A 12692-nucleotide genomic window follows, 5' to 3' on the forward strand; every position below is an offset into this window, starting at 1 on the left:
TGCTCTGATCTTAGTTCTTGTCTTCTACTAGCTTTTGAATTTGTTTGCTTTTGTCTCTCTAGTTCTTTTAATTGTGATGTTAAGGTGTCAATTTTAGATCTCTCCTGCTTTCTCTTGTGGGCATTTAGTGCTATAAATTTCCCTCTACACACTGCTTTAAATGTGCCCCAGATATTCTGGTACGTTGTGTCTTTGTTCTCATTGGTTTCAAAGAACATCTTTATTTCTGCCTTCATTTTGTTATTTACCCAGTAGTCATTCAGGAGCAGGTTGTTCAGTTTCCATGTAGTTGTGCAGTTTTGAGTGAGATTATTAATCCTGAGTTCTAATTTGATTGCACTGTGGTCTGAGAGACAGTTTGTTGTGATTTCTCTTCTTTTGCATTTGCTGAGGAGTGTTTTACTTCCAATTATGTGGTCAATTTTAGAATAAGTGTGATGTGGTGCTGAGAAGAATGTATATTCTGTTGATTTGGGGTGGAGAGTTCTGTAGATGTCTATTAGGTCCACTCGGTCTAGAGCTGAGTTCAAGTTCTGAATATCCTTGTTAATTTTCTGTCTCATTGATCTGTCTAATATTGATAGTGGGGTGTTAAAGTCTCCCATTATTATTGTGTGGGAGTCTAAGTCTCTTTGTAGGTCTCTAAGAACTTGCTTTGTGAATCTGGGTGCTCCCGTATTGGGTGCATATATATTTAGGATAGTTAGCTCTTCTTGTTCAATAGATCCCTTTACCATTATGTAATGGCCTCCTTTGTCTCTTTTCATCTTTGTTGGTTTAAAGTCTGTTTTATCAGAGACCAGGATTGCAACCCCTGCTTTTTTTTGCTTTCCATTTACTTGGTAGATCTTCCTCCATCCCTTTATTTTGAGCCTGTGTGTCTTTTCACATGAGATGGGTCTCCTGAATACAGCACACCAATGGGTCTTGACTCTTTATCCAATTTGCTAGTCTGTGTCTTCTAATTGGGGCATTTAGCCCATTTACATTTAAGGTTAATATTGTTATGTGTGAATTTGATCCTGTCATTATGATGCTAGCTGGTTATTTTGCCCACTAATTGATGCAGTTTCTTCATACCATCGATGGCCTTTACAATTTGGCATGTTTTTGCAGTGGCTGGTACCAGTTACTCCTTTCCATGGTTTTTGTTGTTTTTTTTTTTTTTTTTTTTTGAGATGGAGTCTTGCTCTGTCACCCAGGCTGGAGTGCAGTGGCGTGATCTCAGCTCACTGCAAGCTCCACCTCCTGGGTTCATGCCATTCTCCTGCCTCAGCCACCACCATGCCTGGCTAATTTTTTATAATTTTTAGTAGAGATGAGGTTTCACCATGTTAGCCAGGATGGTCTCGATCTGACCTCGTGATCTGCCCACCTCAGCCTCCCAAAGTGCTGGGATTACAGGTGTGAGCCACCACGCCTGGCCCCTTCCCATGTTTTGTGCTTCCTTCAGGAGCTCTTGTAAGGCAGGCCTGGTGGTGACAAAATCTCTCAGTATTTGCTTGTCTGTAAAGGAGTTTATTTCTCCTTCACTTATGAAGCTTTGTTTGGCTGAATATGAAATTCTGGGTTGAAAATTCTTTTCTTTAAGAATGTTGAATATTGGTCCCCACTCTCTTCTGGCTTGTAGGGTTTCTGCAGAGAGACCCGCTGTTAGTCTGGTGGGCTTCCCTTTGTGGGTAACCCAACCTTTCTCTCTGGCTGCCCTTAACATTTTTTCCTTCATTTCAACCTTGGTGAATCTGACAATTATGTGTCTTGGGGTTGCTCTTCTCAAGGAGAATCTTTGTGGTGTTCTCTGTATTTCCTGAATTTGAATGTTGGCCTGCCTTGCTAGGTTGGGGAAGTTCTCCCAGATAATATCCTGAAAAGTGTTTTCTAACTTGGTTCCATTCCCCCCGTCACTTTCAGGAACACCAAGCAAACACAGATTTGGTCTTTTCACATAGTCCCATATTTCTTGGAGGCTTTGTTCATTTCTTTTCACTCTTTTTTTCTCTAATCTTGTCTTCTTGCTTTATTTCATTAATTTGATCTTCAATCACTGATATCCTTTCTTCCACTTGTTCGACTCGGCTATTGAAGCTTGTGTATGCTTCACGAAGTTCTCATACTGTGATTTTCAGTTCTATCAGGTCATTTAAGGTCTTCTCTACACTAGTTATTCCAGTTAGCCATTCGTCTAACCTTTTTTCAAGGTTTTTAGCTTCCTTGCAATGAGTTAGAACATGATCCTTTAGCTCAGAGAAGTTTGTTATAACCGACCTTCTGAAGCCTACTTCTGCCAACTCGTCAAACCCATTCTCCAACCAGTTTTGTTCTCTTGTTGGTGAGAAGTTGTGTTCCTTTGGAGGAGAAGAGGTGTTCTAGTTTTTGGAATTTTCAGCCTTTCTGCTCTGGTTTCTCCCCTCTTTGTGGTTTTATCTACCTTTGGTCTTTGATGTTGGTGACCTATGGATGAGGTTTTGGTGTAGATGTCCTTTTTGTTGATGTTGATGCTATTCTTTTCTGTTTGTTGGTTTTTCTTCTAACAGAGAAGCCTCTCAGTTGCAGGTCTGTTGGAGTTTGCTGGAGGTCCACTCCAGACCTTGTTTGCCTGGGTATCACCAGCAGAGGCTGCAGAATAGCAAATATTGCTGCCTGATCCTTCCTCTGGAAGCTTCATCCCAGAGGGGCACCCACCTGTATGAGGTGTCTGTCAGCCCCTACTGGGAGGTGTCTCCCAGTCAGGCTACACAGGGGTCAGGGACCCACTTGAGGAGGCAGTCTGTCTGTTATTGCAGCTCGAATGCCGTGCTGGGAGAACAACTGCTCTCTTCAGAATGGTCAGGCAGGGATGTTTAAGTATGGAGAAGCTGTCTGCTGCCTTTTGTTCAGATATGCCCTGCCCTCATAGGTGGAATCTAGAGAGGCAGTAGGCCTTGCTGAGCTCCAGTGGGCTCCACCCAGTTCGAGCTTCCCTGCCACTTTGTTTACACTGTGAACATAGAACCACCTACTCAAGCCTCAGCAATGGTGGACACCCCTCCCCCCACCAAGCTCCGGCATCCCAGGTTGATCTCAGACTGCTGCGCTAGCAGCAAGCAAGGCTCTGTGAGCATAGGACCTGCTGAGCCAGGCACAGGAGGGGATCTCCTGGTCTGCAGGTTGTGAAGACCATGGGAAAAGTGCAGTATTTGGGCAGAAGTGTACCACTCCTCCAGGTACAGTCACTCACGGCTTCCCTTGGCTAGGAATGGGAAATCCCCCAACCCCTTGCATTTCCCCGGTGAGGCAATGCCCCACCCTGCTTCAGCTTGCCTTCCATGGGCTGCACCCACTGTCCAACCAGTCCCAATGAGATGAATCAGGTACCACAGTTGGAAATGCAGAAATCACCCATCTGCTTTGTCAATCTTGCTGGGAGCTATAGACCAGAGCTGTTCCTATTTGGCCATCTTGGAAGTGACCAGTGCCCCTAAAGTCTTAACGCATTCCAGTTTCAACTCTAAAGTCTAACATTTAAAGTCTAATATTTTTTCTTAACTTAATAAGGTTTTCTTTAACTTTTGTTTTAAGTTCAGAGGTACATGTGCAGGTTTGTTATTAAAGTCTCTCTAAAAATCATCTAAACTGGATATTGCCGAGACTTGAGATGTAATTCATTATGAGGCAAAATTTTTCTCCAGCTGTGAACCTTTGAAACCAAATATGTTATCTGATTCCAAAATACAATAGTGGGACAGACATAGAATAAACATTCCCATTCCAAAAGAAGAAGCAGGAAAGAAGGAAAGGTAGTTGGTTTCAAGCCAGTTCAAAACCCAACAAGGTATTCCATGAGATCTTAAGCCCGGAGAATAATCCTCTTCAACACTCTGCCTTCTAGGCCTGGTGGTGTTGGGGTGAGGGGGTCATCCCCCTAAGGCTGTACATGGTGGTCTTGGCCCCACAGCTCTGCAGAGAGGTCCTGGCTCCCAAGCTTTGGTCAGAGGCCACCTGGCCTTTTAAAACTGAATGGTGACCGTGATAATCTCTGAATTGCCTTCAGGGCAATTTTTCTCTGTCTTTGAACAGTGCACGTTTATACCCAGATAGCTCTATCGTCTTGTCTTTCAAAATCTAAGAAGTCAAATATCCTTTCTTCATTTTGTCCAACCTCCATCCCTCAGTTCAAGCTGACAGTGCTTCTGCTCCTATAATATCATAAACTCTTTATTGAGTGAAAGTCCAGCCACACCCTTGGTGTTCCTTTCAGAATATGTTTTTGCATTTTTTGCAATATCAATAGGCTGAATTTTCCAAATATTTAAGATCTAGTTCCTTGTTGCTTAACAATCCTTTCTTCAGTTCATCTCTGTCCTCTCACATATTACTATAAACAGTCAGGAGGAACTAAGATACTCCTTCAACACTTTGCTTAGAAATATTCTCAGGGAAATTTCCAGTTTCATTGCTTACCAGTTCTACTTTCCAAAAAAACACTAGAACACAAACACAATTCAGTCAGGTTATTTCCCTCTTTATAACAAGGATTGCCTCTCCTTCAGGTTCCTACATGATCTTTGTTACCATCTGAGACTTCACAAGAATCACCCTTAATATCTATATTTATAGTATGCACCTTAAAACTCTTCCAGCCTCTACCCATTACCCATTTCCAAAGCAACTTCCACATGTTTAAGCATTTGTTACAGCAGCACCTCACTTCTCAGTATCAAAATCTGTATTAGTCTGGGTTATCCATAGAAACAGAACTGCTAAGAGATATAAATAGATAGATATAAAGAAGCTTATAAGAAATTGGGCCAGGTGAAGTGGCTCACACCTGTAATCCCAGCACTTTGAGAGGTCGAGGTGGGCGGATCACTTGAGGTCAGGAGTTCAAGACCAGCCTGGTCAACATGGTGAAACCCCATCTCTACTAAAAATACAAAAGTTAGCTGTGGCATTCATCTCTGGTCCCAGCTACTCAGGAGGCTGAGGCAGGAGAATCACTTGAACCTGGGAGGCAGAGGTTGCAGTGAGCCAAGATCATGCCACTGCACTCCAGCCTAGGCAACAGAGTAAGACTCAAAAAAAAAAAAAGAAATTGGGTCATGTGATTATGAAGACAGATATCCCAAGATCTATAGTCAGCACAAAGGACAGCCAATGGTATGAGTACCAGTCTGAGTATCAGTCCAAAGTCTGACATCCTAGCTTGACAATCATTAGGCAGGGAGAGAATCCTGCCTTACTCACCCCTGTGTTCCTTTCAGGCCTTCAGTGGATTTCCATGAGACCCACCCACATTGGGCAGGATAATCTGCTTTACTCAGTCTACCAATTCCAATGTTAATCTTGGCCAGGTGCGGTGGCTCCTGCCTGTAATCCCAGCACTTCGGGATCGAGGTGTGTAGAGGCCAGGAGTTCAAGACCAGCCTGGGCAACATGGCAAAACCTTGTCTCTACTAAAAAAATACAAAAAAATTAGCTGGGCGTCATGGCACATGCCTGGAGTCCCAGCAGCTAGGGAGGATGAGGTGGGAGGATCACCTGAGCCCTGGAAGGCGAGGCTGTAGTGAGCTGAGATCATGTGCCACTGCAGTCTAGTCTGAGCAATGAGAGTGAGACCCTTTTGCCAAAACAACAACAACAACAACAACAACAACAACCACTGTGGCTCCTATGGTCCATTCAAGTTGACACATAAAATTAACCATCACATCCCCTGATTCCAATTCTTCTTTTCCTATACTCAGTTAAATCCACCCAAATATATGTCTATCCTCACTACTTCATGGAAACTACTTTAGTTGAAGGATTCTTGAACTTTGATCTAGAACTTTGATCTAACAATGCCCTCTGCTTCGTTAAATTAAAATTGCTTATCTTACTTGACAAATTAGGAGGATTTGACATCATCAATTGTCTCCTCCTCCTTGACATATTTCGTTTGACTCTCAGGACACCACACTTTCAGTGTGAACCTGAAACCACGCTGGTTCATCTTTCTTGTCCTTTGCTGGCTCTTCAATTTTTCCATGACCTCTTAATATTAGGATAGATTTAGTTCTTGAATATCTCCTCTTCTTATATGTTTTCTGTTGAAAATTATATTCAATCTCATGACTGTAAACAAATCTGTATGTCCACAACTCTTAAAGATATCTTTAGCCCCAATTCCTCTGCTCAGCTCTCTACTCATTTATTCTATTGCCTCTAATAGACCTCTCAACCTCAGAATGTCCGAAATTGACCTCTTAATTGCCCCTACTTCCAAATCTGCTCCACTCACAGCCTTCTTCAACTCAAGTTATAATTTCCTTTCATCTTACTTGATTTCTTTGTGGCATTGGATACTATTGCTCACTCCAGGTTTCTTGACACTTACTTTCTCAGCTTTGGTGTATCCACTTTCTCCTAGCTTTCTTCCAATGGCTCTGACATCCTGTACTTAGGCTCCCACATGGACTTCTTCTTATACTCTTAAATTTTAGGCTTTAAACATTAATGTTTCTCAGACTTCCACTCTCAACTCTATTTCTCCAACCACCCATTCTCCAAGCTACAAACCTGATATTATTCATAGTCTTCTCTTTTCACTTAGCATCCATGTTTCATTGATCAATTCTGATCAAAAATACCTCCATAATTATTCATATTCTTTCATGATTTTCTATTCCCACTACCACTATCTTAATTTAGGTCCTCATTGCTTCTTACCTCCTGACTTGTCTCCCTGCCTCTAATCTTAACCCTCTCTGACCCATCCACAACACAACAATGGCTGTATCTTTCTAAAACACAAATCATCATATAATTTCTCTGATTAAAATATTTGCCTGCTTAAAATAGCATTCATATTTTAAATCTCCTGTTTTCATGATCAAGTCCAAGCTCTATAACATATCACTCAAAACCCTGTGGAATATGAACCCTGCTTACCTCTCTGGCATCATCTGCCACTTGCATACACACATTCTTTGCTCCCATCATTCAAAATTTTTTGCAGTGCCCCAGATGTTTCAGGCAGCTTCATGTCTCCAGACTGTCCCACCTAATGTTTCCTCTGGATTCTCCGTCATCTTCATCTACCCAATTCCTTCCTGTCCTTCAAAACACAGCTCCATTATCATCTCATCAGTTGATGAATTAGGCTTATCTGCTTTCCACTTGAGACTATAAGATCATTGTGGGCCAGATCTAGGTCTTACTAGACTTTATGACTCCTCTGCTTAGCAAACAAAAAACAGTTGTTGGGCTAATTAATTAATTAATAATCCATCCACATCTTTGAATCTCCATCCTTAAATCCAACTACTGCTCCACATAAATTAGCACACACTGGGTCTTCTGAGAGGTCAGTCTTTGCCCCTCCTTCCACCCCCAATTTTGCCTTTTCCATGTCTGTCTTAGTGCTCTAAGGATTTACCTGAGTCCCATCTTTCTATGAGGCTAATCAAAGATGCAGGAATATATCGGGAGTTCAGCCTTTCCAGTGAGTAGGATCTAAATCTAGGTTTAATATCCAAAGTGCCCTGGGCATATGTGTTTCCATAAGTAATCTGGCTGTGCCAGCCTCTGTCCCTGCTTTGTTGACCCTGTTTGTGCACCTGGGCTTTAGCCTGGGCCTCCCTTCCTACTATTCTACAGAAACATTAGAGACCTACCATGATAACTTTTGTAGCCTGTTCTAAGCTTTTTCTCTGGGATATGAGATCCTCTTTCTCACACCTCAGTCATTGGCTGGAGTTCTCATGACCAAAAGGATTTTTTGAAACCACCATGACACCTCATCTGAATTCAAATATTGCCTCTGGTCTAAGTCTTCTACACCTCACTGAACAACGGAGGTTTCTTTGTGCTGAGATGCCAAACCAGAGGTGGAGGAGAGGTGGGGAATAAAGACTGAAGTATCAGAAGATGGCGGCGTGGGCAAGTTCATACTGAGAAATAGTCTGGTTTAGGGTCAAATACTGGAGCATACTTTACTTTGGACAGCAAGTTACCCATCAAGAGCTATTTCTATAAATTGATCGATTCTGCACAGAACTACTGTATTAGTTGGTTCTCACACTGCTATGAAGAAATACCCGACACTGGGTAATTTATAAAGGAAAAAGTTTTTATTGACTCACAGTTCCACATGGCTGGGGAAGCCTCAGGAAACTTACAATCCTGGCAGAAGGCAAAGGAAAAGCAGGCACCTTCTTCAAAGGGTGGCAGGACAGAGTGAGTGCAAGCAAGCGAAATGCCAAATGCTTATAAAACCATCGTATCTGTTGAGACTTACTCACTGTCGTGAGAACAGTATGGGTGAAACTGCCCTCATGATCCAATTACCTCCCCCAATCCCACCCTTGACACATGGGGATTATGGGGATTATGGGGACTACAAATCAAGATGAGATTTTGGGTCAGGACACAGCCAAAGCATATCAACTATCCTCCTCCCCTTACCCACTGTCTTTTTGGTCGAAATTGGACACGCTTCACAACCAAACTTGCTTCAGTTATGCTAAAAGGATAACATATGAGAATTTCTCAGGATTAAATATATTTAAGTCTATAAGCCAGAGCTGAATAAATGCTGTTCTGGTTTTCAAAAAGAGTAAATTAAATTTTACAAGCAACAGAGCTTAATAGCAAGCTCAAACTCTAAAATGAATAAACTAAATAATGTTTCATGAGAAAAACAAATGGTAATTACTAGGAGCAGCTTGGTCCATAAATAATCACTCTAGGTTAACCTCTTTTATATTAACCTCCTTATTAAAACTGGTTTCTCAGAAGCATGCCATTGACATAGCACAACTGTCCATCCAATACCATTTATTGAGTTTTACGTCTTTTAAAAACTCCTGGTTTTATTTTGGGATCAAGTTGAATATCTGTGATGAGAAGAGTAAATCCCTTTCTCCACCCCTGCCTTTTGGCACCACTGTGATGCTCTTAGACAGGTGTTCCACGCAAATGAAACATTTTTTTAAATTAAGAATGCAGATTATATATGCAGGCCCCACAAAACTTTCTTTGTATGAGGAGTTGAGATAGCTCCTGAAAGAGAACTTATTTTAAAGAAATCAGGCACAAGCTGATTCAGTAACAGAGCCTTGGTGGGAGAGAAGGGACAATTCTGAACAAAGAATGGTGTTTGACAATTATATTTATTGCCAAAAACAGTCTCCAAGGACTTATATTGCAGTCCTAGGAAGAGGGGAATGATGTAAGTAAAACCAAAGAACTGTGTATTAATTATTGCTGTGTAACAAATTACCACACATTTAATGGCTGAAAACAGTTCACATTTACAGATGCTCCTCAACTTACAATGGGGTTACATCTCAATAAGCCCACCATAAGTTGAAAATATTGTAAGTCAAAAATGCATTAAATATATCTAACTTACCGAACATCATAGTTTAGCCTAGCCTACCTTAAACATGCTTGGAACACTTACATTAGCCCACTATCAGGCCAAATCATCTGGAAACACAGTACACTGTAGAGTACCCAGTTGTTTACCCTTCTGATTGTGTGGCTGACTGGGAGCTGTGGCTTGCTGCCACTGCCCAGCATGGAGAGAGAATATTGTACTGTATATCACTAGCCTGTGAAAATATCAAAATTCAAAATACAGTTTCTCCTGAATACTTAACGTCCTTTGTCCCATCATGAAGTCACAAAAATCATAAGTTGAACCATAGTAAGTCAAGGACTGTCTGTATAAGCTCACAGAATCTGGGCATAGCTTAACTGGGTCCTCTCCTTCAAGGTCTCTCATCAGGCTGCAATCAAGGTGTTGGCCAAGGCTGTGATCTCATCTGAAAGCTCAACCGAAGAGGATGATCTGCTTCCAAGTTCATGTGGTTGTTACAATTCCCTGTGTTTTGTTGGACTGAGAGCCTCAATTTCTTGCAGCTGACAGCCAGCAGCCACCCTCAGTTTCTTTTCACTGAGTCTCCCTAGCATGGCTGCTTGCTTCATGCATGCAAACCCAGAAGGCGATCAAGAGAGTCTGCTAGCATGTAAATTAGCGCAACCACTATGGAGAACAGTTTGGTGGTTCCTCAAAAAACTAAAAATTGAGTTACTATATGATCCAGCAATCCCATTGCTGGGTATACCCAAAAGAAATGAAGTCAGTATATTGAAGAGATATCTGCACCCCTATGTTTGCTGCAGCACTGTTTACAATAGCTAAGATTTGGACAAACTAAGTGTCCACCAACAGATGAATGGATAAAGAATATGTTATACATATACACAATGGAATACTATTCAGCCATAAAAAGAATAAGATCCCATCACTTACTACAACACAGATGGAACCGGAGATCATTTTACTAAGTGAAATAAGCCAGGCACACAAAGACAAACACTGCATGTTCTCACTTATTTGTGTGATATAAAAATTAAAACAGTTGAACTCATGGACATAGAAAGTAAAAGGACAGTTACCAGAGGTTGGGAAGGATAGTGTGTGGGGCAGGGAGAAGGTGGGAATGGTTAATGGGTACAAGAAAATAGAAAGAATGAATAAGACCTATTTTATCATTTACCTATTTTATCATTTATCTGTTGTGCTATCGCACAACAGAGTGACTATAGTTAATAATAACTTAATTGCACATCTTAAAATAACTCAAAGAGTGTAAATGGATTGTTTGTTACTCAAAGAATAAATGCTTGAGGGGATGGATACCCTATTCTCCATGATGTGGTTATATCACATTTCATGCCTGTAATCAAAACATCTCATGTACCCCATAAATATATACACCTACTATACCCACAAAAATTAAAAAATAAAACTAAAAAAGAGAGTCTGTTAGCAATACAGAAGTTACAATACTGTCCAGTGTAATTGCAGTGTGACATCCCATCACCTCAGCCATATTCTGTTGGTTAAAAGCTAGTCACAGGTCTCATCCACACTCCTGTGAAGGGATTACATAAGCCATAATATCAGGGACAGGGACATATGGAGCCCATTTTAGAATCTTTCTGCCTCAAACTGGTTCATCAAAAACTCTGAAAGTCACTGGAGTATCAGCAGCATGCTTTAGTAGAGCGTAACATAAGAGAAGAAGAAAGTATTTAGTAGTGGAATCTTCTCGTCAGTGTAAGAGCACAGAGAACCTAGAGGGACTTGGGAACAATCTGAGGCTGAAGGATACTAAAACAAACTAGAATTCCTTGTATTTTTGTTTCGGACCAGCCTTAAAAGGGAAACACATTAAAGTCAGTAAATGTAAATAACCACACGGTGGCAGTAGATGCCAAGAAATTTTAAGTGTTACGTGTAACTGAGGGCATGGAAGAGCAAGTTTATCTCCCTATATGGCCACCCACGTTTTCCTTTCTGTCTGACTGCTGGAAGGAAAGGGGGAGGTAACTAGAATCTTTCCACACACTCATCCCTGAAGCACTACCCATAAAGTATTACCACTGAAGAGTGAGGACATAGACAGTTCACTGTATTCCTCCCCCAATTCCTAGAAGAGTAGTAAGGGTCTTAAGGCGGGAGAATGAGACCTCCTGAAATACTTATGAAGCCTTCCCTTATCAAGTACTCACAGCCAAATATTTCAGAGTGGCGTTAATTAAAACAATGTCATACTTGGTCTGCTGTGAAGCCTGCCTAGTTCAGAGTTGATACCACTGGGGAAATCCCAGGGGAAAATAAGTGTCAAATAAAAGAAGGAATATTATTTCCACAAATGAGAGACATTAAGGATAAAGGCTTAACACCATATAGGCATGCCTCACATATATATACAGTGCATATATTCACACGTACACTGTACAGAATTCCATAGTTAGCATTACCCAGTCAGAGTGACTAGATCTGGCATTAATAAAAGAGGAGATAACTCAACAGAATTGAGTGCTCCAAAGTTGTATTACGAGAGAGGTTTTATTATCTGAGTTTATGTATAAACCGAGAAATCTTAATAAGACCTTTTCTGATTGTCTCATATCTTCTTAATTAGTCCATATCCAAAGGGGTTAATAACTGGCACTGTTCGAATTTGTTTAATCCTGAGATATTCTACAAAGGCAGTTTGGTGTTACAAAAGTGAAAGTTCCTTATATGTTTAGGTTTTCTTTTTTTCATAGACAAGGTCTCACTATATTGCCCAGGTTGGTCTCAAACTCCTGGACTCAAGCTATCCTCCCACCTCAACCTCCCAAAGTGCTGGGATTACAGGCACGACCCTCTGTGCCCAGCTACGTTCTTTTTCTAGGTAATATAACATTCCCTTTTGCTAATAGATGGGCCAAAGAGTTTGAAAGTGCCTCATCAAATCTAAAATGGTTGTGTTTGTTTTATATAAATGACAATGGTCCAATAGTTGGCTAGTCTTGGAGGGTTGGTAAATTTCTTTCTTTCTTTTTTTTTTTTTTTTTTCTGAGATAGGGTCTCACTCTGTCACACAGGATGGAGTGCAGTGGCATAAACACAGCTCCCTGTAGCCTCTATCTCCCAAGCTCAAGTGATTCTCCCACCTCAGCCCCACAAGTAGCTGGGACCACAGGTGCAATCCTCCCACCTCAGTCCCCCAAGTAGCTGGGACTACAGGCATGCGCCACCAAGCCCAGCTAATTTTTGTATTTTTGTAGAGACCAAGTTCCACCATGTTGCCCAGGCTGGTCTCCAACTCCTGAGCTCAGGCATTCTGCCCAGCTCAGCTCCCCGAACTGCTAGGATTACAGGTGTGAGC

The 12692-nt window shown here is 41.4% G+C and overlaps 1 annotated feature.

Moving 5' to 3' along the window:
• Window positions 11673-12173: an enhancer, noted in NCBI's record as "H3K27ac hESC enhancer chr1:100274830-100275330 (GRCh37/hg19 assembly coordinates)". NCBI's record gives its function as "activates a minimal SCP1, AML or CMV promoter by ChIP-STARR-seq in naive H9 embryonic stem cells {active_cell/tissue: H9 hESC(naive)}" and the evidence as "EXISTENCE:reporter gene assay evidence [ECO:0000049][PMID:30033119]".

Source organism: Homo sapiens, chromosome 1 (assembly GCF_000001405.40).
Source record: "Homo sapiens chromosome 1, GRCh38.p14 Primary Assembly".
Taxonomy (NCBI): domain Eukaryota; kingdom Metazoa; phylum Chordata; class Mammalia; order Primates; family Hominidae; genus Homo; species Homo sapiens.